Source organism: Homo sapiens, chromosome 2 (assembly GCF_000001405.40).
Source record: "Homo sapiens chromosome 2, GRCh38.p14 Primary Assembly".
Classification (NCBI taxonomy): Eukaryota; Metazoa; Chordata; class Mammalia; order Primates; family Hominidae; genus Homo; species Homo sapiens.
Window position 1 is genome coordinate 61,368,429 of NC_000002.12, and position 27,983 is coordinate 61,396,411.

At 37.7% G+C, this 27,983-nt stretch overlaps 1 protein-coding gene across 1 annotated transcript in view, besides 2 other annotated features; it reads right to left on the bottom strand.

The window, feature by feature from the left end:
• USP34 (ubiquitin specific peptidase 34) overlaps positions 1-27,983 on the bottom strand; it is a 283,625-nt gene that overhangs the window by 180,966 nt on the left and 74,676 nt on the right. Inside the window, exons 4-10 of the mRNA NM_014709.4 lie at positions 26,755-26,805; positions 26,425-26,574; positions 14,841-14,908; positions 11,741-11,933; positions 9,935-9,996; positions 2,070-2,151; positions 1,893-1,985 (exon numbers count right to left, since the gene is read on the bottom strand). Of these exons, the coding sequence (NP_055524.3) occupies positions 1,893-1,985; positions 2,070-2,151; positions 9,935-9,996; positions 11,741-11,933; positions 14,841-14,908; positions 26,425-26,574; positions 26,755-26,805 (699 nt within the window). The remainder of the gene's footprint in view (positions 1-1,892; positions 1,986-2,069; positions 2,152-9,934; positions 9,997-11,740; positions 11,934-14,840; positions 14,909-26,424; positions 26,575-26,754; positions 26,806-27,983) is intronic.
• Positions 12,319-12,820: an enhancer, noted in NCBI's record as "NANOG hESC enhancer chr2:61607882-61608383 (GRCh37/hg19 assembly coordinates)". NCBI's record gives its function as "activates a minimal SCP1, AML or CMV promoter by ChIP-STARR-seq in naive H9 embryonic stem cells {active_cell/tissue: H9 hESC(naive)}" and the evidence as "EXISTENCE:reporter gene assay evidence [ECO:0000049][PMID:30033119]".
• Positions 12,412-12,612: a silencer, noted in NCBI's record as "peak3714 fragment used in MPRA reporter construct". NCBI's record gives its function as "represses an SCP1 promoter by STARR-seq MPRAs in K562 erythroleukemia cells {active_cell/tissue: K562}" and the evidence as "EXISTENCE:reporter gene assay evidence [ECO:0000049][PMID:32103011]".

Here is a 27,983-nt window from a genome sequence, read left to right on the forward strand (position 1 = left end):
CTCAAAAAAAAAAAAGAAGAATGGGCATGTCTGTGTAGCAAGAATTTCCAAAAACAGATAGCTGGCCCACAGACTATAAGTTTACCAATCCCTGGTATAGATCATAATTATACACACAAATAGGTCAGTCTAGAAAGTTCAAAAAATTACCCAGTCAAGAAAAAATTGGTATATCAAGTCAGAAAGAAGAGTTAGTAAACAAATGGAATTGGAAAAATTGCACAACAAAAAAGGGAGGAAAGTTGGACACATACATAACACTTTAAACCAACATAAATCCCAGCTGGATCAAAGATTAAGATATATAATTGCAATAGAAAATGTATAGGGAGAAACTAAAGGAGAATTCTCTTATAATGTTGTGAATGGAGAAGGCATTTCAAACCAAGATACAAAATCTACAGACCATAAAAACTACAACCACAAATATGAAACTGAACAGTAAAAACCACCTTAAGCAAAGCAAAAAGGCATCAAACCAGGATACAGTAATAAGTTGTAATCACAAACAAAAGATCAACTTCAGTGACACATAAAGAACTCCTACAAATAAAAAAAATAAGAAAAACAATTGATAAATAGCAAAAAATATGAACAATTCCAGAAAAAGCAACAAAATGGCTCTTAAACACAAGATTTGCAAACTCACTCATGATAAAAGAAACGCAAATTTAAAATACCAATGATATCACTTTTCACCCATCAGGTTGGCAAAGATCATGTAATTTAATGTGCTGACAAAATTAAGGGGAAAGTGAAACTGCCGTACCAGTATCTACCACAAGTAAACCACACATATTCTTTAACCTAGTAATTCTAATTCTACTTGTAAGTAAGAATTTATCATAGCTACACAAAAGTTTCACACAAGGATGAAATGAATGTGTTAGAAGTTACTTATTACAGCATTGTTTGTAACAGAAAAGACTCGGGGGGCCAGGAGTGGTGGCTCATGCCTGTAATCCCAGCACACTGGGAGGCCGAGGTGGGCGGATCATGAGGTCAGGAGTTCGAGACCAGCCTGACCAACATAGCGAAACCTTATCTCTACTAAAAATACAAAAATTAGCTGGGCGTGGCGGTGCATACCTATAGTCCTAGCTATTCAGGAGCGTGAGGCAGGAGAATCACTTGAACCGGGGAGGCGGAGGTTGCAGTAAGCCAAGACTGCGCCATGGCATTCCAGCCTGGGCTACAAAGCAAGATTCCGTCTCAAAAAAAAAAAAAAAAAAAAAAAAGACTGAGGGAAAAAATAATTAAACACTATACAGTTTTACAAGAAGATAAAAAGCACTTCATATATTGATGAGAAATCTCCAGAATAAATTAAGAAAGAAAAAAAAAAAAGTCAAAGCCACATCTGGTTGGTATGCTACATTTGTGAAAAAGAAAGAGGAAGAAAAATGTATACAGTTCGCTATTTATACAAAAAAATCTGATATACCTGAGAAGATAATAACTGCATGCTTGAGAGATGGGGCAGAAAGGAAAAACATGTAATATATTTTTTATATTTACTTTTGGAATTTTGAATCATGTGGATATATGCCTATTTAAAAAAAAAAAAAAAAAAACAGTACATCAGACAAGAAACATACCAATACAATAATTCAGGATAGAAGGGTAGACTGTATAAATGAGAATAACAGGAAAATGTCTCTTTATTAAACCAGGATGGTTTCATGAAGAAGCTCCAACTGACTGACTCTGATTTCCTTCCATTCTACCAGTAACATAGTAAGACATGGACTCGGAAGCCAGATTTCAGTCCCAGCTTGTCCATGTCTTGGTCTCCTTAGCTATAAAACAGGATAATAGAATTTACCTCACAGAGAAGCACTTAGAACATATGATAAGCAAAGCACTCAATAAATGTGAGCTGTTAATATTACCTGTGCTGCAGCCCAAATACAGTCAATATGTTGAGTACTCAGTCGCCCTTCTGCTGCCAAAAAATTCAAAATCACTTGGCACTGTTTGATAATCTGGAAAAGAAAAACTTAATATCAATTTTTAAAAATATTCTTCTCTATCAATAGAACAGAGAAGTTATGTAATCATCCACAAACCTCAATATGTAAATTTGGTCCAAATATATGCTCCACCACATTGTTGCTAATAAGCCAGTCTGCAAGTTCTTTTGCAATGGACCTAAAGTCAAGCAATGAAAATAGTACATTAAAAAAAATTGTCATCTTTTCTCATGTCTAAAAGGTAGAGTCAATTGAAAACCTAAATTTGTTCCTATAGGAATTATAAAGAATTAGATACAATCAGTTTTATAGAATACTACAAAGCATAACTAGAATGAAATATGATGCTGAATTTATAAATTCAAATTCCCTGAGTTTATAAACAAGCAACGAATAACTGAAAAGGTAACGATTAACACCAAGTACACAAGTGTAACACTGATTTAGTGATGTATTATCCTACTCGAGGTCTTTGCCTTCCCACTTTTTAATTTCCACAGTATGTATTGAAGCACTCAGGAAAGGTTTCCCAGTATGCCCTTTATAATGAGATAATATCAGGAAAATAGGTTGTCAAAAGGATGAACAACAAAAGAATTATCCCCAAGCCAAACTGTAAGTCTCCTGGCTGATACTATTGAAGATTCAATAGATGAAAAGTGAAGTAACAGACAGTCATGTACTGCATAATAATGATTTGGTCAATGGCAGACCAAAGGATGGACCAAATATACAACAGTGGTCCCATAAGATTAAAAGTGACTTGAACAATTCCTATCACCTAATGTCACTGTGGCCACCATGTCATAGAGCAATGCATTACTCACAGGTTTGTGGTGATGCTGATGTAAACAAATCTACTGCACTGCCAGTCATATAAAAGTATAGCATGTACATACAGTATATAATACTTAATAAATGACTGTTGCTGGTTTATGTATTTATTATACTTTTCATCTTTAAAGGATACTCTTTCTAGTTTTTTTAAAAAAAGGCACAGTCAGCATGGGAGATGACAGCTCCATGTGTATTATTAAAAAGTTAAAAAAAAAAAAAGGAAAGAAAACAGCTCACAGAATAAGAATATAAAGAAAAAATACTTTTGTACAGCCATACAACGTGTTTGTGTTTTAAATGTTATTATAAGAGTCAAAACGTTAAAAAATTTTAAGTTTATAAAAGTAAATAAAAAGTTAGAGTAAGCTAAGGTTAATTTAATAGTGAAGAAAAAAATTTTTAAATAATTTGTATAGCCTAAGTGTACAGTGCTTACAAAGTCTACAGTAGTGTAGAGTCACATCCTAGGCCTTCACATCTTCTCAGCGATCACTCACCAACTCACCCAGAGCAACTTCCAGTCCTGCAAGCTCCATTCTTGGTAAGCGTCCTATACAGGCAATACCCTATTTTATCTTTTTTGCAGGTTTTTTACATTATTTTTTCTACAGTTAGATATGTTTAGATACACAAATATTTACAAAGTGTTACAAATGCCCACAGAATTAAGTACAGTAAGATGCTGTACAGGCTTGGAGTCAAGCAGCAACAGGTTATACCACCTAGGTTTGTGTAACTTTGTACAATGAAGTCACCTCATGATGCATTTCTCAGAATGTATCCCTGTCATTAAGTACCATATGACTATATTATAAAATGGGTGGAAGAAAATAAGTTTCAAAATAAATTGTATAATAAAAGGTCCCCAATTTTTTCAACTATATTATATACAGATAAACTGGAAAGATTAAGTAATTTACTTTCTTATTGCATATCCAATGAAGAATTTACATTCTATAATAGAATTTTATGCTAACAATTTTTATTTATTAAAAAAAAACCACTAGGACTTACACATATGGACCTCAAAGGGTAAAACATTAAAAATAAAACTAGGTATATTTTACCTATTTCTGAGTAGCCCTACTGAAGTTACGATACATAAAATTCAACCCTCTGATTTACATAATAGTTCAAGAAACAAAATTCATTTCTAAAAAAAATTCCACTATTATTTAAGTCTATTAAAGGACATTAATAGAAGACCCAGGCTGGTGCTGTGGTTCACACCTGTAATCCTAGCACTTTGGGAGACTGAGGTCGAGGGGACTGCTTGAGCCTAGGAGTTCCAGGCCAGGCTGGGCAACGTAATGAAAGCCTGTTTCCGCCAGGCATGGTGGCTCATGCCTGTGGTCTCACTTACTAAGGAGGTTGAGGTGGGAGGATCATTTGAGTCCAGGTCAGAGCTGTAGTAAGGCATAATCGTGCTGTTGCTGCACTCCAGCTTGGGCAACAGAGCAAGACACTGTCTCAAAAATTTAAAGGGGAGACCCAGGGACTTTCGTAATAATGATGCAACTATAAAATTGGACAGTACCATTAATAACCACTATTCGGAGGTCTGAAAACATACATGCAATGGGGGTCAAAGTGGGAAGAGGTGCCAGAAAAAATATTTCAATACCCCAAACTTCCCAAAGTTGATGAAACACATTCATCTACACAACCAAGAAGTAGAACAAACTCCAGGATAAACACAAAGAAATCCACATCTACACATATTGTAGTCAAATGATTTAAAGGAGTAAGAGAAAAACAACTAAGCATACACAAGGGAACCAGAATAAGATTAATAGCTAACTTCTTATCCCAAACAGTAATGGAGCTACGTAGGAGCCATGTTTTTTATCTTATTTTATTAGAGTTAAATCAGTATGAATGTCAAGAAGTTGAATGCATATTTAACCCATAAAATCGCTAAGAAAATTAAGATATTTTTTAAATCAATGCAATTAAAATGTCACACTAGAATCTATATATATATACTATAAAAATAGATAGTAAAGGAGAAATAGAGAAACAAGATATGAGATACACAGAAAACCAACAGCAAAATGAGATGTAAAACAAGCTATATAAAATTATTAGTGAATTAAGAACTCTAATCAAGGCAGAGATTATATGACTAGTTTTTTTTTTTAAAGATCCAACTATATGCTACCCCCAAGACATACTTTAGCTTCAAAACAAGCAGACTGAAAATAAAAGAATGGAAAAAGATAAGCCATGCCAACAATAAGCTTAAGAAAGGTTCAGTGGTTATACCAATAACAAATAAAATAGACTAAGCCAAAAAATGTCTGAAAGAGACAAAGGACATTTAAAACGAAAAAAAGGATCAAGTTACCAGGAATACATATGGACCTAACAAAAGAATTCCTGAAATACATGAAGCAAAAACTGATGACAGAATTAAAAGGAGAAACACACAATTCAACAATACAGCTGATTCTTGTTACTCGCATTAGTTATATTCTACAGAGTCACTGCAAACACTGAATTAGCTAATACTGAACCCTTGGCCCTACAGGAAATATGTACATAATATAGATATCATACACAGATCTTGAATCTGAAAAACCTCTCATACTGGTTGACTCTATTTTCTCTATTTTACAAAAGAGAAAATGGCGTGGCCAAGTACGGTGGCTCACACCTGTAATCCCAGCACTTTGGGAGGCCAAGACGGGTGGACTGCTTGAGGTCAGGAGCTTAAGACCAGCCCGACCAACATGGTGAAACCCTGTCTCTAATGAAAAATACAAAAATTAGCCAGGCGTGGTGGCAGGTGCCTATAATCCCAGTTACTCAGGAGGCTGAGGCAGCACAATCGCTTGAAGCCAGGAGACAGAGGTTGCAGTGAGCCGAGATCGTGCCATTGCACTTCAGCCTGGGCAATAGAGCGAGACTCCATCTCAGGGAAAAAAAAAAAAAAAAAAACAGAGAAAATGAGGTTCAGAAGTGTTTAGATGCCTTGCCTGAGGCCAACCCTTATGCCTAAACAAGTGTTAGGGTTGGGATTCAAACCGCATCCAAGTGGCGCCAGGACTTCTTACACTCCACCACACTGCCCCTCAGCACCTCCATCTCCATATTCCATATTTGTGAAGAAAAATATTTTTTCTTCTCTTCCATGGTTTCTATATTTGTTAACTCATCCATTTGCTGCATTTTATTTGTAACTCCAAAATCAGTACTTGTGGCATTTTCATAGGCACTCACAGACATGCACATAGCAGTGAAAGATTAGAATTTTCCAATATGCACATTCCCACCTAAAGTCAAACAAGGTGGCACTCTCATCTTGCTTCAGAGCTCATACAGAGATGACCAAATCTGCACACACTCAGGATCAAATGTATCTGGAGACTTCAATACTTTTTTTTTTTTGAGAGACTACTTGCTCTGTTGCCCAGGCCGAAGTGCAGTGGCGCAACTTCGGCTCACTGCAAACTCCACCTCTCAGGTTCAAGTGATTCACCACCAGGCCCAGCTAATTTTTGTATTTTTAGTAGAGACGGGGTTTCGCCATGTTGCCCAGGCTAGTCTTGAACTCCTGACCTCAGGTGATCCACCAGCTTCGGCCTCCCAAAGTGCTGGGATTACAGGCATGAGCCACTGCACTCAGTCTCCTACTTTCAATAATAGAGAAGAACTAGGCAGAAAATGCAACAAGAATATAGGAAACAGACAACAACACTACAAACCAATTTGACCTAATAGACATCTATAGAACACCCCACAGAATACCCCATACGACAACAGCAGAATGTACAGTCTTCTTAGGCACACACAGAACAGTCTGTAGTACAGACCACATTAAGCCATAAAACACAACCAAGAATCCAATTAAAAACTGGACAATATTGTGAATGAAGAAACATTATGGCAAATAACCACATAAAAAGCTGCTCTACATCATTAATAATTAGGGAAATGCAAATTAAAACCATGATGAAATGCTACTTTACACCCCCTAAATGGCAATAATAAATCTAGATAATAACAACTGCTGGCAAGAATAGGGAGAAACTGGAAACCTCCTACAATGCTAGTGGGGATGTAAAATAATGCAGGTATACTGGAAAACAGTTTGACAGCTCCAATGAAAGTTAAAGGTAAACTAATCATATAAGCAACAATTCTAATCCTAAGTATCTACCATGAAAAATGAAAACATATGATCACAAAAGGACTTTACATAAATGTTTATAATGGCATTATTTATATTAATCAAAAAGTAGAAACAGGCGGGGCGCGGTGGCTCACGCCTGTAATCCCAGCACTTTGGGAGGCCAAGGCAGGCGGATCACGAGGTCAGGAGATCGAGTCCATCCTGGCTAACACAGTGAAACCCCGTCTCTACTAAAAATACAAAAAATTAGCCGGAAGTGGTGGCGGGTGCCTGTAGTCCCAGCTACTCGGGAGGCTGAAGCAGGAGAATGGCGTGAATCTGGGAGGCGGAGCTTGCAGTGAGCCAAGATCGCGCCACTGCACTCCAGCCTGGGTGACAGACCAAGACTCTGTCTCAAAAAAAAAAAAAAAAAAAAAAAAAAGTAGAAACAATCCAAATATCCATCAACTGGTACTTGATCAAGTGTGGTATATCTATACAATGTGATACTATTAAGCAATAAAAAGGAATAAAGTACAGAGACAAACTACAATCTCAATGAACCTCAAACAAACGAACAAGAGTATACTAAATGAAAAGAAGCCAGAAGAAAATGACTACTATCATTTGATTCCTTTTAAATGAAATATCTCAAAATGGGTAAATCTACAGAGACAGAAAGTAGATTAGTGAGGCTGGAAATAATAGGTACTGGCTACAAATGGGCAAAAGACATCTTTTTTAAGTGATGGAAATGTTCTAGAATTGGACTGTGGTGACAGCTGCACAACTCTAAGAATTTACTATTATAAAATTCATTGACTTGTATATTTTAAAAAGTGAATTTTATATGTATTTATATGTTAATAAAACTGCTTAAAAATACCCAATTCACAGCCGCCAACAATATTTATCACATGCTTTTTCTGTTTACTCCAATTTTCTCACACTGTACACATACTCTCCCTTGCCATCTTGAACTCTTTACCACCAGTCCTCAATACTTTTGTTCTCCTCCCTATTCTCTTAAACATGTCTTTGGGATGTATATTCCTTGCATTTGTTATTGGAATTCCTTCTTATTCCCCCATTCACTGTTTTCACACAACACCTAGCCTGAATGTGTTATTACTGCAGTGAACATTCCCAATTTTTGTCCTTTTCACAGGGGATGAGAGGAGTATGAATATCACATTAGCAATTACATAAGGTTCTCTTTAAGCGGTCTCGCGGAGGTGGAGGGGTGAGGGGACACAGGATGAAAATGAAAATCCAGAGCTGTAGGTTTATTTTGTTTGTTTTGGTTTTTTTCTGAGACATACTCTTGCTCTGTCGCCCAGGTTGGAGTGAAAATGGCACCATCTCGGGTCACTGCAATCTCTGTCTCCGGGTTTAAGTGATTCTCGTGCCTCAGCTACCCAAATAGCTGGAATCACAGGCATGCGCCACCACACCTAATTTTTGTATTTACAGTAGAGATGGAATTTCACCATGTTGGCCAGGCTGGCCTTGAACTCCTGGCCTCAAGTGATCTGCCCGCCTCAGCCTCCCAAAGTGCTGGGATACAGGCGTGAGCCACTGTGCCTGGCACAGAGCTGTAGCTTTATAAATACACTGGATATCGTCTACATAATGTCTTGACAGTGTGAAACAACACTTCTAATATAATCCAGAATTTATAAAGCAATGAAAAATTCTAGGCAACACACTTTAAGGGGATCACTGACAAAGAATATTGCCAGAGATGAATAACTCATATAGTGATAAATCCAAAAACCATACCACATAAAGAACAACTGGGAGAATAAGAACTCTTTAGCCTGAAGGGAAAAAAGAGTCAAGAGACAGTCTCTGGTTTCCAAATTCATGAAGACCTAGGTTCAACTGGGATTAGCGCCTTAGAGCAGTAGTAACATCAAGTTACACTAAAGTATGACTCACATGTATAATCAAGAATTTTCTAACAAACCAATCCAACTCTGTTCCAGAAAATATTCTATCCTACTGTTTGAGATTTTTAAAACTGATTTCTATACTAGATGAACAATTAAATGGAATACATATATTTCTCAGAACCAAAGAAGTTTAAGCTATAAAAACTACTTTTTTAACTCCCAATGTGATGTTATTGGAAATGGGGCCTTTGGGAGATAATTAGGTCATGAAGGTGGAGCCTTCATGAATGGGATTAGTGGCCTAATAAAAGGGACCCCAGAGACCTCTCTACCTCTTTCCACCATGCGAAAATAAAAGAAAATGGCCATCTACAGTCCAGAAGAAGGACCCCACCAGAACTTGACGATGCTGCCAACAACCTGATCTCGGACTTCCAGCCTCCAGAACTATGGGAAATAAATTTCTGTTGTTTATAAGTCATCCAATCTACAGTACTTTGTTACAGCAGCCTGGACTAAGACAGTGTACTTTCTGAAAACTATCAGTACCATATTTTTCAAGACTAAATTCTCCAGTATAAACAGTATGCTTTCATACTGTGACAAATAGTACTATATGTTCGCATACGCTTTTAAAAGAGAGAAATGTGGCCAGACACAGTGGCTCACGCCTGTAATCCCAACACTTTGGGAGACTGAGGCAAGTGGATGGCTTGAGTCTACAAGACTAGACTGAGCAACATGGCAAAACTCTGCCTCTGCAAATATCACAAAAATTAGCCAGGCATGCTGGCATGCGCCTATGGTCCCAGCTATCCGGGAGGCTGAGGTGGGAGGATCACCTGACCCTGGGAACTTGAGGCTGTAGTGAGCCATGGTCCCACCACTGTACTCCACCCTGGGCAACAGAGCAAGACCCTGTCTCAAAAAAAAGAGGGAGAGTGAGTTATGTTACAGACAGCATAATGTTCTGAAAGCTTCATGAAGAACTGTACACAATGTCAAAGGGCAAAGAATTTCTAGTAAAAATTTTAAATCTAAAAATTAGAATTTACCATATAAACAACTGTACATTAAAATGGTATACTTATATATAAATTAATGCTCCTACTTACGTTTCTGTGTCCGATACTAATGATTCATTATTGCACACATCATTGAAGGTATGGAGTTGATTCTATGATTAAAGACAAGAAATTAAGGGTTTTTATTTCCAAAATTATTCTTGCATTTGTCAGCAAATACTAACATGGTAAACTGATTGACATATGTAGATCACAATAACTAGATTAATATTATAAAATCTAAGACATAATCAGAGACACACGCTTCCCAATTACTAAAACTATTTCTGTTATATTAAAATACTAAATAATGGCCAGGCGCAGCGGCTCACACCTGTAATCCCAGCACTTTAGGAGGCCAAGGCAGGTGGATCACCTGAGGTCAGGAGCTCTGAGACCAGCCTTACCAACACAGTAAATCTCCATCTCTATTAAAAATACAAAATTAGCTGGGTATGGTGGCATGCGCCTAAAACGCGAGCTACTCAGAGGCTGAGGCACGAAAATCACTTGAACCCAGGAGGCAGAGGTTGCAGTGAGCCAAGATCGCGCCACTGCACTCCAGCCTGGGCGACAGAGTGAGAGTCCATCTCAAAAAAACGAAAAAAAAAAAAAAAAAAAAAAAACAACACTAAATTCATTCCACAAATAGTATTCTTTATTACACTAAGTGCACTGGAGAAAATAAAGCTGAGTAAGTAAAAAAACACAACAATTTAACGCAAGAGAGCAAGTAATATGTCATTATAGACAAAGTTTCAGGAAAGACTCCCCAGATAAATCCACTCAAGATTTAATTTATCTGGGACAATATCAACAAGTATCTTTTATATTTATGAAACCCGGTACACAAGTAAACTCCACCTATTTCACATTTTCAGTGTGACTACACTACCAAAACAAAACAAAACAAAAACAGTAATGTGGCCAGGTGGGGTGGCTCACGCCTGTAATCCCAACACTTTGGGAGGATGAGGCGGGTGGATCACCTGAGGTCAGGAATTCCAGACCAGCCTGGCCAACACGGTAAAAACCCATCTCTACTAAAAATGCAAAAAATTAGCTGGGTGTTGTGGCGCACACCTGTAGTCCCTGCTACTCAGGAGGCTGAGGCAAGAGCATCGCTTGAACCCAGGAGGTGGAGGTTGCAGTAAGCCGAGATCATGCCATTGCACAACAGAATGGGACTCCATCTCCAAGAAAAACCAAAAAACAAAACAAAACAAAACAAAAACCCAGAAATGTAAAGGAGTAAAGCAAATGGGGACTGCAACAAACCGGAGAAAGCATATTCATTCTGAGGGATAAAGTTAATTACTTAGTTCTAACAGACTGTTGTTATGCAAGAATACAGACCCAAGAATACCAGGCCTTCTTCCAACCCCCTCACCAAGAGAAGCCAAGAATACAGATTTTCATGTTACTTTGTCCTATTTAAAAACAGTATTTAAGACTATTCAAAACAAACATTTAGTAAAATTTGGCCTACGGCCCAATAATCTATGGTTTCTGCCTGGAAAATTAATTAACTGCTTATAAAGCCCTCCAATTATTCCTCTTTCTCAAAACATCTATAAACATAAAAACCTAAATAGTTTAAAAAGACAGAAACAAAATGATGAAAGAGTTGGACCCGGAAATCAAATGGACCCACAGTATAAATCCATATAAATCTAAGCTTCAGACTTATTTAAAATAAGAGAAACACAGAAATTATTTGTGAAGACCATATAAAGTAATCCACATAAAATACTTAGCACAATGCCTAGTATGAAGTGCTCCATAAATAGTGGGTAGTATTATGATAGACCAGAAAACAAATAAACGATGACCAAAAATAAAACAAATACAGCTTACTGTTATCTGACTCAATCCAGCCAACCTCATAGTCAAAGTAGGTGACATAAAGTACTTAAATGCAAGATCTAGGCTTTCTTTATCAAAGCATAATGTTGTATCCAATGGTTCTTTGACTGTGCTCCACATTAAGTCAGCCATGTTACGAGCTGCACTCTGTCGTAACTCCTGATCCGAGAGCTTGCATAAATACCTGAAATGATTCAGAAATAGAAAATACACAAAAATTCATAAAGCATTTTTAAAGACCACTCAGTAACTTAAAATGTACATTGTAAGCATTAACATTTTTTGTGTCCAAAACCCACAAACCTCTGGTTTTCCTCTCAGGCCCTGCCTAATCTCTTTGGCAGATTCCTTCTCTGCTGTCCAACCTTTCAACATTAGTCTTCCTCAAGGCCTGTAATGGATTACAAAATGGCCACAAATTCCTCCCATCATTATATGTACAAGAATTTGCAATGTGACTTTGCTATTCCTCTCATCAAAAGGTGTAATCTATTTCTACACCTTAAATCTGGGCCTTGCCATGTAACTTGCTTTGGCCAATGAGATATTAATAGACATGACATAAGTGGAAGCTAGAAAAGCCTTTGAGCTTGCCTTCTCTTGCTGGGAACTCTAATCACCAACAAAACAAGGAACCAAGGTTAGCCTGCTGGATGAAAGAGAAGTGCCTGATGCTCCAACTGACATGAAGCCAACTACAAGACATATATGAGATTCCCGCTCACCCCACAAGACCAATCGGCATGGCAATCACAGAATGTGGGAACAAGGCTAACCTAGACCATCCAGTTTCAGCCAAGTCAATACAGATCAACAAAACTACCTAGCTAGCATGCTCGTTAAGAGTCATCACCACTCCCTAATCTCAAGTACCCAGGGACACAAACACTGCGGAAGGCTGCAGGATCCTCTGCCTAGGAAAACCAGAGACCTTTGTTCACTTGTTTATCTGCTGACCTTCCCTCCACTATTGTCCTATGACCCTGCCAAATCCCCCTCTGCAAGAAACACCCAAGAATGATCAATAAAAAAAAAAAAAATAAATAAATAAAAAATAAACAAAAAATGTAAAACTAAAAAAAAATAAAACACACACACACACACACACAAAACTACCTAGCTAACCAGAGAACTGTGAGAAATGATAAATGGCTGTTGTTTCATTTTTTCTTTTTTTATAAAACAAAGTCTTGCTTTGTCACTCACGCTGGAGTGCAATTGCTCAATCAGAGCTCACTGCAGCCTCGACCTCCTGGGCTCAAGTGATCCTTCCACCTCAGCTTCCCTGGTAGCTGGGACTATAGAAGCATGCCACCACGACCACCTAATTTTCTTCTGCACAGAGATGGAGTCTCGCTATGTTGCCCAGACTGGTCTTGAACTCCTGGGCTCAGGTGATCCTCCCGCCTCGGCCTCCCAAAAGTGCTGGGATTACAGGCATGAGCCACCATGCCTGGCTGGCTATTGTTGTAAGCCACTAAGTTTTGAGGGATGTTTTCTTACACAGCAAAACCAACCCATACAGAGCTCTATCTTAGACTCACCTCTACTCTTTTCCTGTATGCTCTCCTCAGGTGACTCCTATGGTTTTTAAATACCATCTTTACACTCACAACTCTTACATTAATGAAAACTGTTCTGAACTACAAGTTCATACTCCCAATTTGCCAGTGCCATTTAAGTCCCACAGGCCTCTCAAAGTCTTGTCTTTAAGTTCTCCCAGATTTTCACATCTCAGTAATGATATCCACAGTACAAATAAAAAAAATTGAGGAGGGGGGGTGCTGAATGTCATCCACATCCACAATGCTACCCTTTTCTTTATACCCTATAATGACCAGTATTATTGATTTTATTTTCACTTACATTCATCCAATTTTCAAAATCATCATTAACAATCCTACTGTAAGTAATCATCACTTTCCTTCCAGGACTAATATATAAACCTTTCAATTGGTCTCCTCCTAGCTTCTATTCCAGTCACCCTATATTTATGATCTATTTAAAAGCCAAATAAAACTTTTAAAAAATCATGAAACATCTGCTAAAAACCCTTCAATAGACTCCCATTGAAAAAATTAAATCCATACTCCTTACAGTGGCCTACAAGGTCCTGAATAATCTGCCCCTGCTTATCTCTCCACCTTCAAAACTATATCCCCTTACACATTATTCTCCACACCAATCTGCTTCTAGTTTGTGTCATATGCCAACTTCAAAGCCTATACTGACATGTTCCTTCTACAATACGTCTTTCTAATAATCATTTGAATAGCTGACTCACGTCCATCAGATATCACCCTTCAGAAAGGCCCCATACTCCCTCTGTATCACACTAACTTACTTGCATAGCATTCATCACTATCTGATTCTTTGCCTGATACTGTCTCCCAAAAGTTGAGTAGTGCTGTGAAAAAGGGAACACTCAAACCTTTGCAAATGAGAAAAAAAGTACAATACTGTCATAAATGTTATCAAGAAATAAAATATGCAGAATCCTGACAGTTCATACTTTAATTCTAATCAGTACAACCCTTTCTCCATCTTCTTAGGCTTCCTTTTTAAGTTGAGACTTATAAAATTCAAATGTCACCTCTCGTTCAATGAGACCTTTCCTGTCCCCATAAACTGTAACCCACCCCCTAGAACTCTCAAGCCACCTTTGCTGCTATTTATCCTATAATACTTATCACTTTCTGATGTAGTATTATCATTTACTTCTTTTGTAAACAGACTGCACAAGAGCAGAGATTTTTGCAATTTGTTTTCTTCTCTGCTATATCCTCAGTGCCTAGAACGTAACAGACACTTACTGTGTATTTGCTGACTAAATACAGTGGAATAACCATTATTAATCTCTTTAATTCTTTACATACTCATGTAAAAAAAAGTCCAACATAATTTACTAAAAAGTAACCATTAAATATAAATCCATATATGTGCATAAAAAACACTATATACCAAACTGTTACTTGAAATTTTCTCTAGAGGATATGACTATAGGGGACTTTCAAACAATATAATTCTATATTATAAATTGTTTAAATATATTACACTGATAATCGGGGGTAAAGAAATTTTATAAACTTACCTAATAACATAGGTCCTAAAAGGTATAATGTGCTGCATGACAGCGGGAATATGTAGCCATATTCTAATCTATATAAGAAACATAAAAACAACATTAATGCCTAATATGTGAAATACATATATCTTTCACTAAACTAATGAAAAACAAGAGCATTGGCCAGGCACGGTCGCTCACGCCTGTAATCCCAGCACTTTGGGAGGCTGAGGTGGGCAGATCCGAAGGTCAGGAGTTTGAGATCAGCCTGGCCAACACAGTAAAACCCCGTATCTACTAAAAACACAAAAATTAGCCGGGCATGGTGGCGCGCACCTGTAGTCCCAGCTACTTGAGAGGCTGAGGCAGGAGAATCGCTTGAACCCCCACCCCCGGGGGGGGCGGGGGGAAGAGGATGTGGTGAGCCGAGATTGTGCCACTGCACTCCAGCCTGGGCAACGGAGCGAGACTCCGTCTCAAATAAAAAACAAAACAAAAACGAGGATCATTTAGTATTCTGCTGCCTCTATAATTACATATATTATCAATTATGAAAAGAGTATAGTACAAAACAGAATTACACATGTATCAGGAAATTTAACCTATATATTATATATCTTATTTTACATGAAGTCTGTCTGAAAAATTAATCTTAGCTTCTTGCTGAAAAGACAAAACCATCTCTCAAAGTAATATTTCCTTACCAAATAATTCTCTATACCTCTTTGTACGGTAGCATCCCCAATACAAGGCACTGTATTAGTTTTTTAATAAACCGTATTAGTTTTTAACTAATCATCTCATCATTCCTTCCTAAAATATTTCAAATTACCCATAATTTCTAGTCATTTCAGTATCTGAAGCAAATATATTTTACAGTCACACACTGATTACAATATCAACAAGTACTTACTAAGTTTACTATAAGTAACTTACAGCTCGACTGAGTTATAATAAAAGTTACAATAAATATATTTCCTCATTTTTTCTACACAATATTTTAACATTTATAAATCAAATGTGAATACATTATATAACAGTTTTATTTTCAAAAATAGTAAGAATAAAAATCCTAACCCAACCAATCAAACAAAAAACTCTGATACTGAGTCTTGACACAGGCAGGAGATACAAATTAAAAAATCTGGACAGGCGCGGTGGCTCATGCCTATAATCCCAGCACTCTGGGAGATCGTGGCAGGTGGATCACTTGAGGTCAGGAGTTCAAGACCAGCCTGGGCAACATGGCTGAAACCCCATCTCTACCAAAAAAATACAAAAATAAGCCAGGCATGGTGTCACATGTCTGCAGTCCCAGCACTCTGGGAGGTTGAGGTGGGAGATTCGCTTGAACCCAGGAGGTGGAAGTCTCAGTGAGCCAGGATCGCGTCACTGTACTCCACCCTGGACAACACAGCAAGACCATGTCTCAAAACAAAAAAAATTAAAAAATAAAATACATGAATTTGGGAATTCAGAATGTAGGGATTCACTATAATCAAATAAAAGACGTCTATAAAAACCCTGTAGTAAATACTACGTTAATGATGAAATGTTAAAAACTTTGCCTCCTGAGACTAGGAACAAGACAAGGAAGCCTCAATTCCACTTGAACTGAAGGACCTAGACAATATAAGTTAAGAAACTAAATAAAAGGCAAAGGACTAGAAAGAAGAATTTAAAATAATACTCTGAGATAATATAATTATATAATTAGGAAACCCAAAATAATTATCAGATAAACACTGAAACTAAAGAGTTTAGCAAAACTGCTGCTAGGTTAATATAAACAAATATGCACACACCTATCTATACATACACACAACACCCTATATATGTTCTTTTCTTATTATTTGTTCCTGAGAACAAATAATACAGTTTTCAAAACGATTCCCTTAAGAACAGTATCAAAAATATCATGTGTCTAGGAGTAATCTAACAAGATACACACCTCTACATAAAAAGTTGGAAAATAATCAATTAAACAACATGTAAATAAGGAGACATTTGCCATATTTATTGTGAAGATAATAGTTCTCCCGAAATTCATCTATAGATTCAGTACAATCCAAAAAGGTTTACATGCAGAACTTATGAAACTCATTCAAAGCACAAAGGTCCAAGAATAGCTAAAACTCTCTAAGAAATACGACAAGGAGGCCAGGCGCGGTGGCTCACATCTCACTTTGGGAGGCCGAGGCGGGCGGATCACGAGGTCAGGAGATCGAGACCATCCTGGCTAACATGGTGAAACCCCATCTCTACTAAAAATACAAAAAACTTAGCCGGACGTGGTGGCGGGCGCCTGTAGTCCCAGCTACTTGGGAGGCTGAGGCAGGAGAATGGCGTGAACCTGGGAGGCGGAGCTTGCAGTGAGCCAAGATCATGCCACTGCACTCCAGCCTGGGCAACAAAGCAAGACTCTGTCTCAAAAAAAAAAAAAAAAAAAAAAAGAAATACGACAAGGAGAAGCTGGGTGCAGTGACTCAGGCCTGTAATCCTAGCACTTCAGGAGGCCGAGGTGGGCAGATCACCTGAGGTCAGGAGTTCAAGACCAGCTTGGCCAACATGGTGAAACTGTTTCTACTGAAAACACAAAAACAAATGAGCCAGGTGTGGTGACGCGCACCTGTAATCCCAGCTACTTGGGATGCTGAGACAGGAGAATCACTTGAACCCCAGGAGGTGGAGGTTGCAGTAAGCTGAGATCGTCCCACTGCACTCCAGCCTAGGTGACAAAGTGAGACTCTGTCTCCAAAAAAAAAAAAAAAAAGAAATATGACAGGGAGGTAGTACTTGCTTTCCCAGAGAGCAAGACTTCTTGTAAAGCTTCAGTAATTAAGTCAGTAGGCAAAACAGCACAAAATTAGGCAAATAGAATGGTATACTATGCCAAAGAGCCCAAACCCATGCACATAAAAACATCCGATTTGGCTCATTGTAGTGATGAGGCATGAGTCACCTGTAACCAATACTTTTGGAGGCCAAGATGGAAGGATCACTTCAGGCCACTTCAGGCCAGGAGTTCAACACTAACCTGTGCAACAAAAGTAGAACTACAGAACAAAGAAGAAATGACTGTCTTTGTGACAGTGTTAGGAACACTGGATATCTGTATGAAAAAGAAAATGAATCTTAATCCCTCCTGAAACTATAAATAAAAATGTATTGCAGTTGAATAGATCAAAATATGAAAGGTAAAGCAATAATACTTGTTTCCTGATCAAGGTAAGCAAGAAAAAATTTTTCAAAAAAAACAACAACTTTGGCCGGGCACGGTGGCTCACACCTGTAATCCCAGCACTTTGGGGAGCCGAGGCAGATGGATCACAAGCTCAGGAGATCGAGACCATCCTGGCCAACATGGTGAAACCCCATCTATACTAAAAATACAAAAAATTAGCTGGGCGTGGTGGCAAGTGCCTGCAGTCTCGGCTACTTAGGAGACTGAGGCAGGAGAATCGCTTGAACCCAGGAGGTGGATGTTGCAGTGAGCTGAGATCAAGCCACTGCACTCCAGCCTGGCAACAGAGCGAGACTCCATCTAAAAAGAAACAAACAAAAAAAACTTTGTAAGTATCTTCATGGCCTTAGAGTTAAAAATGACTTTTTCAACCAAAAATGAAAACCTTAACCATAAAGAAAAATGACAAACTGTACAACATGAAGCTTGATGAATAATATTTCTTCAACACAACAGTGAAAAGCAACACGAGAGTGGAAGATATTGGCAATACATATATCAAACAAAACACTTCTACCTAAAAAGACGTCTATCTAAAACACACAAGGAAATTCTAAACATCAGCAAGAAAAAGACAATCCAATTTTGCAAATGGGCGAGAGATTTAAACAGGTACTTCGCAAAAAAAATCCAAATAAGTAATATGCCTATGAAAAGGTGCTGATTCTCATTAGTCGTTAGAAATATATAACAGGCCAGGTGCAGTGGCTCACCCCTGTAATCAAAGCACTTTGGGAGGCTGAGGCAGTCAGATCACTTTGAGGTCAGGAGTTCGAGACCAAGCTGGCCAAACATAGTGAAATCCCATCTCTACTAAAAGTACAAAAAATTTAGCCAGGCTTGGTAGTAGGTTCCTGCAATCCCAGCTACTTGGAAAGCTGAGGCAGGAGAATCGCTTGAACCCAGGAGGTGGAGACTGCAGTGAGCCAAGATCGCACCACTGCACTACATCCTGGGCAACAGAGCAAGACTCTATCTCAAAAAAACAACAACAAAAGTGTGTGTGTGAGTGTATATATATGTATGTATGTATATATATTTATATATACACACATATATAAAATATATATATTTATATATACACACATATATAAAATATATATATTTATATATACACACATATATAAAATATATATTTTTACATATACACACATATATAAAAATATATATTTTACATATGCACACATGTAAAAATATATTTTTACATATACACACATGTAAAAATATATTTTTACGTATACACACATGTAAAAATATATTTTTACGTATACACACATGTAAAATATATTTTTACGTATACACACATGTAAAAATATATTTTACGTATACACACATGTAAAAATATATTTTTACGTATACACACATGTAAAAATATATATTTTTACGTATACGCATATGTAAAAATATATTTTTATATATAAGCATATGTAAAAATATATTTATACACACACACACACACACACACACACACACATATATATATATAAATATAAAAAAAAGGCCAGGTGGAGTGGCTCATGCCTGTAATCCCAGGACTTTGGAAGGCCAAGGATGGAGGATGCTTGAGCTCAGGAGTTTGAGATCAGCCAGGACAATATGGCAAAACCCCACATCTGCTTAGCGGGGCATGGTGGCACACACCAGCTATGCAAGAGGCTGAGGTGGGAAGATCGCCTGAGCCCAGGAAGTGGAGGTTGCAACGAATTGAGATCACCCCAATGCGCTCTGGCCTGGGTGACAAGAGTAAGACACTGTCTCAAAAAATAATAAAATCACAATGAGCTACTACTATAAATCCATTAGAAATCTATAAAAAACCAAGTCAACACTTGGCAAGGATATGCAACTAGGGGAACTCTCACAGACCTGACAGAAGTATAAATTAATACAACCACCTAAGGAAACCATAGGTTTAACACCCAAGTTTGAAAATATGCATACTCGAGGGGATGTGGGGGTACAGGGGAGTTTAAAAAAAAAAAAAAAAAAGATTGGGCATGGTGGCTCACACCTGTAATTTCAGCACTTTGGGAGGCCGATGCAGGCGGATCATGAGGTCAGGAGATCGAGACCATCCTAGCTAACACGGTGAAACCCTGCCTCTACTAAAAATACAAAAAATTAGCCAGGCATGGTGGTGGGCGCCTGTAGCCCCAGCTACTCAGGAGGCTGATGCAAGAGAATGGTGTGAACCCGCGAGGCAGAGCTTGCAGTGAGCTGAGATCACGCCACTGCACTCCAGCCTGGGCGACAGAGCAAGACTCCATCTCAGAAAAAGAATATATATATATATATATATGTACACACACACACACACAAACACCCTGATAAGACATTTACTTCTAGATATACATCCAAATTAAATGCACACACATGTTCACCAAAACACACATAGAAGAATGCTGACACCCATATGAACTGTAATAACCTAAATGTCCATCACCAGTAAAATAAATTGGTATATTTTAAAAGATAATTCAACAATAAAAATGAACATACATGCAATATAAATTTCGGCATTTAAAAAAAACAACCAGGCATGAAAGAATGCATAGTATGTGATTCCATCTGCATGGTGAAAACAGACAAAACCAAATTGTAGTGTTTAGGGATATAAGATTAGGTGATAAAACTTTGTTTAAAAAAAGCAGGAGAATGATCAGCATTAAAGGATGAATTGTGTTTATTTTTAAAGGAGAAGAGATGGAATAGTTAGTGGCCTGAGGACTCATAAGGTAGGCTTCTGGGGAGTTGACAATGTTCTGTTTCTTGGTTTGAGTGATGGTTAAACGAATATTTGCTTTGATAAATCACTGAGCCACATGTTATCACTTTGTGTACGTTTCTTTATGAATGTTATTTTTCAAATTTTAACAGAAGGTTAAAAATCCTATTTTATACAAGATACATCAGAGGGCATAGTTATATCTTTTATTTTAGAATACACAGACACAAGTGATTAAAAATTTCAATTAAAAAACAGCAAATGAAGAAAAATGTCAATACAAGAAAAAATTTTAATACAAGGAAGATCTACCATTTACTAAGTCCTTAATATTCCCATTGTGATAAATGAGAAAAGTAATGCTTATAAAAGTAATGAAAACAAAATTACATACTATGCAACAGAGGTACAATTCAAACCTAGGATTATATCATTATAAAAATCAGCATTCTTTAACACTACTATAGATCCCAACATCATAAAAACCAAATTGCATATGCTATTAATCCTACAGTGTGTCCTTTATCATTTTTTTTTAAGTTTTGAGCTTTTCAGGTTTCCTTCTCCCCACCCCCTGCTTAGTGCTAATGGAATTCTAGCAGCCCTCCTAACCTTTTAACCTAGGTTAAAACTCTCAGAAATAGGGAAAAAAAGAAAAAAAAAGTTCCTTGCTCCCTGTAACTGCAGAAAAACAGCGTTCTGCATCAAACCTAGTTCTGACAAAGTGCAAAGTGGCATCATGAAAACTTAATTTCCTATTCTCCTATCTAGTAAAGAGATATCAAAAAATATGTAATCCTACCCTAGTTTCTGATATTAAACAGTCTTTGCTAGTATATTTGTAAAAAGCAGTCTTAGGACACTGAACATTCAGAAATTGCTATTGTGTTCCCCTATACGTTACTTAAGCCCTACAAGCTTATACCTTTGACTAAAGCATATTTTGTGTGAAGTTCTTTTTATTAATCCTCATTTGCACTTCTTTCTACTCCATAATAAAATAAACCCCTTGTCTCTATTGGATTCTTTATAAATTAATAAAAGGTGTTATGTATGAAATGACAAACTCTGGCAAAGAGCTGAGGGCTGAGGAAGGATACTGTAAGCTAAAACCAAGTGTAACTCAACAAAAGTGAGATTAACTTCCATTTGGGTCTCAGTGGAGAAACTTGTATGCCTCCATGTTCTATTTCTCTAAGCTGTGTTAAATGTTAGTAAGCTGCATTCGCAAAGTAAGAAAACTACATAAAAAGCTGCATTTGCAAAGTAAGAAAACTACATAAAGATCTTTGTTGTTTTCTTGTGGGTGCAGCTGTTATTAAAGAACGGATCCATATAATAGGTGGAATAATATTTGTGCAAACTGAGAAATCTCCTAAAACTCAGAGCTAGTTAAGAACTGCTGAAGTTCTAGTTAAGAATCTGCTAAAGTTTTTGAGATTGAAACAAATGTATGGGCTTGACGTTATTATCAGATTTGAACCTTAATCTGATAAGGTAAGAATTTCCTTTCTTTGTTGATAATTCAAATCCAGAGAAGAGTGAGTTTTCCTGAGATGAAATTTCAGGATTCTAGATTCAGGTTCTGAAAAAAAAAACTCACCAGCCAGGCGCAGTGGCTCACACCTGTAATCCCAGCACTCTGGGAGGCTGAGGTGGGGGCATCGCAAGGTCAAGAGATTGAGACCATCCTGGCCAACATGGTGAAACCCCATCTCTACTAAAAATACAAAAATTAGCTGGGCATGGTGGTGCGTGCCTGTAGTCCCAGCTACTCGGGAAGCTAAGGCAGGAGAATCGCTTGAATCTGGGAGGCGGAGGCTGAGGTGAGCAGGGATCATACCACTGCACTCCAGCCTGGTGACAGAGCGAGACTCCAGCTCAAAAAAAAAACGAAAAAATAACACTCACCATCTGACAAAGTTACCTTGCCTCAGTAAGAGTGAGGAAATCAGCCAGGTGCAATGGCACACACCTGTAATCCCAGCACTTTAGGAGGCCAAGGCGGGCGGATCATTTGAGCCCAGGAGTTCAAGACCAGCCTGGGGAACATGGTGAAACACTACCTCTACCAGAAACACAAAAATTAGCCAGTCTCAAAATAAATATATAGCTTTTTCTTTAAGTGAGGAGGAAATCATACTAGAAAATAAACAGAATGGGATCATTTCCTGAGTCCCAGGAAATGCTATAAACATGTTCTCTTCTGAATGTGTGATTTAGTATAATAGAGAAAAAGAAGTATTCAGTAACGTTAGTCCGTATCTTTCCTGCCACAAAAGTGATTTATGAGTTATTTTCTTTTCTTTACAAACGGCTGCCCTAAAATCTAATACTATTTTTTTCATTGTTAAATATAGTTCTACTCATTCCTGTGAAATTCAGAGATTCCCAAATAGAGACCTCACCCTATTGAAGCCAAAACACCATGGCTAAACAAGCTGCCCACTTCGCAAGAAAAGGAATAGACATACAAAAATGATCAGGGTTTATACAATGACCCACTAGAGGAAATTACTATGAAATAAATAAAGCACAGCTTCTGTAGCAAGCTTGATTACAAAAAGAACTCTAAGCTCTTAATGTACACTAAAATATTAACCATATAAAAGAAATTAGCTTGCAGAGAGCCAATCTACAATATTTTTTATAAGGAAAAGATGCCTATTAAAGAGTTACTCCATTGAGTTATTATTCTCAGAAAATTAACAAACAGATTATATAGTATTATAGTATTACGGTGTTCAAAAAATATATTAATTTAAATAGTATAATTTTGCTTTAACGGCCTCAGTTGAGTTGCAAGATAAAGAAAACTATGCAGATTGACAACAGCCCACCAATTAGCAGTCATAAAAGGGCTGAAGAGAAAGATAAAACAGAATCTAAGCCTAAACCTTTGTATTTAGTAAAGGATAACTTCACAGGTTGGGCAACAGCGTAACCCCATCTCTACAAAAACAATTTTTAATTTAGCCAGGCGTGGTGACATGCACCTTTAGTCCCAGGTACTTGGGAGGCTGACATGGGAGGGAGGTTTGCTTGAGCCTGGGAGATCAAGGCTGCAGTCAGCTGCTACTACCGCACAGCAGAACTCTCTCTCAAAAACAAAAACAAAACAAAGGCCGGGTGCGGTGGCTCAAGCCTGCAAGCCTGTAATCCCAGCACTTTGGGAGGCCGAGGTGGGCGGATCACAGGAGGTCAGGAGTTCGAGACCAGCCTGGACAACATGGCGAAACCCCGGGTCTACTAAAAATACAAAAATTAGCTGGGTGTGGTAGCGTGCACTAGTTATCCCAGCTACTAGGGAGGCTGAGGCAGGACAACTGCTTGAACCCAGGAGGTGGATGCTGCAGTGAGCCAAGATGGTGCCACTGCACTCTAGCCTGGGTGACGGAGTGAGACTCTGTCTCAAAAAAACGGATAAAGTAAGGAAGAAAAAACCCTGTAAACGATAACTTTTAAAGATATAGTAATAAAGTCTTTAACAAGCTTTCCATACTAGACTGTTAAACAAGAATTAGTACAAATAAATTCAAGAAACAGTTTAATCCAGGTTTATGTAATATTCCTGATTAAGTAAACCCTTTGATAATTTGGTGTTTCAAAATTATATGCCCTCTCCAAAATTACCACAGTGTGAAATAAAAATGTTATCCCAGCATTCCAGTTAACTAAATTGAGATACTTTCTCTCAGAGAATGCCAAAGTACATAAAACTTTCTATCAAACAAATAAGTTCAATCAGAATAACAGGATCACTTAGGTATTTAGTAACAACCGAAGTTAGTAAAAGCCACCAGTTACTACACACTTTATATGTCAAGTGTTACATTATGAGTTTAAAATCTTTCTCATTTTAAACCTCAAAACAATCCTCTAAAGTAGATGGATATCATCATCATTCCCATTTTGCAAATTAAAAAAATTAAGGCTCAGATCACGCAAAGTGGCTCACGCCTGTAATCCCAGCACTTTAGGAGGCTGAGGCAGGAGGATCACCTGAGGTTAGGAGTTTGAGACCAGCCTAGCCAACATGGTGAAACCCAATCTCTATTAAAAATACAAAAATTAACCAGGCATGGTGGCATACGCCTGTAGTCCCAACTACTCGGGAGGCTGAGGCAGGAGAATCACTTAAATCTGGGAGACGGAGGTTGCAGTGAGCCAAGATCATGCCACTGCACTCCAGCCTGGGCAACAGAGCCAGACTCCGTCTAAAAAAAAAAAAAAAAAGGCAACATTATTAACCTACATGCTACACTACTACTATATGTAATAATTTCAACCTATCAGAATGGGTGGAATTTTTTAACTAAAAATGACCTTGATAGTAATCATTTATTACCAATTTTAGTAATGTCAGTGCTGTTTCCAATGTACCGCATCACTGCAAAGCACACAGCATTGGAAACAATGCAACAAAATATTTGGTTGAGTCACTTTTCACCCAATATTTTTATTTTATAGATAATTTAAATATCTGATATTAGCTATTAATTAAGGTAATTCCATTACACAAGATTTCAGTGTTTGGTAAAGGTACACTGAACTTTTGCTTTACCAATTTTTTAAATTATGACCAGAATAGGTTATTAAAGAATGAATTTTAATATACAGGTATTTAAAAGTATCTTTCTTTCCGGGCCGGGCACAGTCGCTCACGCCTGTAATCTCAGCACTTTGGGAGGCCAAGGTGGGTGGATCATGAGGTCAGGAGTTTGAGACCAGCCTGGCCAACATGTACTCAAAATACAGAAATTAGCCGGGCATGGTGGTTCGTGCCTGTAGTCCCAGCTACTTGGGAGGCTGAGGCAGAAGAATCGCTTGAACCCAGGAGGCGGAGGGTGCAGTGAGCTGAGACTGCACCACTGCACTCCAGCCTGGGGAACAAAGTGAGACTCCGTGTCAAAAAAATAAATAAAAGTATCTTTCTTTCCATATCCACTGTGCTTCACAGTGAAACTGATACTCACAGGATACAGAAGAATTACCTTATTTTCAAAGGCAAGAAGAAATGTTACAATCTTCATGTGTAAGAGAATTCAGGCATACTATAATAGTAACCTAGGCAAGCATCATTTAAAGTAACCAATAACCTAAAAAGTCAAAAATTTCCCAGGACAGAATCCCAGGAAGATCAAGTTTAAAATGGCCTGGGCAACATGGTAAAACTCTGTCTCTAAAAAAAGTACAAAAATTCAGCCAGGCACAGTGGTGCACACCTCTAGTCCCAGCTACTCAGGAGGGTGAGGTGGGAGGATCACCTGAGCCCAGGAGGTAGAAGCTACAGCCTAAACAACGGAGTGAGACCCTCTCTCTCAAAAAAAAAAAAAAAAAAAAAAAAATAAGTTAAAAAATGAAAATTAGCAAAAGTTTTATGCAGTCACCTATCTTAGATAAAATAGATAATTATAGATAGTCATGACCCCTTTTAGCTTTAAAACAGGTAACTTAATTTTATTCAAATTCTAATCTTAATAATAAAGATCGTTAAAACGTTTCTGTACTCATTTTGTCAAAATAAAAAAAAATTACACATGCAAATCATTCAAAACCTTCCTTTTCAGAGCATAAAATTCATGTTACTGATATGCTAGACATTGCTCCCAAAATTAAGATCAATTCAAAACAATACTTACATTAGACACAACTGTAATAAACGCATGTGCTATAAGAAATGGCAAAGTTTCAGGAGTTCCATATTCAAAGCAATCCTTCATGAGAGAAAGGCCATTTTTCCCACAAAACAAACATACATAACGAAGCAAATGCAATGGTACTTCTACATCCTGGGAAAATAAAGAAAACATGTCATTATTTGAAAACGTACAAATAATTTTTATCTTAGCAATACTGGAAAGATACTGATGAGAAACTCAAAAGACATATATAAATAATAAAACATATGGATGAGGCTTTGTTAAAAAAATAAAATTTTCCATAAAAGAATAAAAAAGGTAAACACTTACATTCATATCACAGAATGCCCCTAATATGTTACTTTCTTGAGTTGATATATCCTAATTAAAAAAAAAAAAGCAAGTAAAATTAGGTTACAACTACTAACCTTTAAAAAATACAATTCTATAAAAGACTGATTTTATAAAAACCGAATAAACAGATTATTTTGCAATTACTCCTGATAAGCAGTGATACTCCTAACTGAAGCTAATAGGATTCAGCTCTAAGGTGTATTTTAGTCCTCCTTTAAGTAGAAGCCATTCCACAGTACATACTACACACTATTTTGCCTTATTAAACATTAAGTAATCTTGCCTTAAAAAAATCAATGTTTAAAATCCCGGCCGGACGCGGTGGCTCACGCCTGTAATCCCAGCACTTTGGGAGGCCGAGGCGGGCGGATCACGAGGTCAGGAGATCGAGACCACGGTGAAACCCCGTCTCTACTAAAAATACAAAAAATTAGCCGGGCGCAGTGGCGGGCGCCTGTAGTCCCAGCTACTCGGGAGGCTGAGGCAGGAGAATGGCGTGAACCCGGAAGGCGGAGCTTGCAGTGAGCGGAGATCGCGCCACAGCACTCCCGCCTGGGCGACAGAACGAGACTCCGTCTCAAAAAAAAAAAAAAAAAAAAAAAAAATCCCAGCACTTTGGGAGGCCGAGGCGGGTGGATCACCTGAGGTCAGGAGATCAAGATCAGCCTGACCAACATGGTAAAACCTTGTCTCTACGAAAAATAAAAAAATTGTCAGTGTGGTGGTGGGCACTTGTAATACTCAGGAGGCTGAGGCATGAGAATGGCTTGAACCTGGGAGGCAGAGGTTGCAGTGAGCTGAAATCACGCCATTACACTCCATCCTGGGTGACAGAGCAAAACTGTCTCAAAAAAAAAAAAAAAGGTTTAAAATAAAACTCAAGGTAATTCTGATAAAAATACATGATAGTTAAGTGGTTTTTGTTTTGAAAAGTTTCTCAACAAACTTTTTCATGATTTTTGAAACTGCTTTGGAATTCCCTAGAGGTATACTGAAGAGTTACACGTGCTTCCATTGCATAAGATTTCAACTGCCTAAAAGCACAGTTATCCATTGTTGGTGAGTATAAGTTCGTATGAACTTTTTGGAAGGCTATTTGGCAATATCCTTCAATATTTAAAATACACATTGCCTTTGACCCAGCAATTCTAGCTTTTTGTTCTAAGGAACTAATCATACTAGTACTGGAAAATATACGCATAACG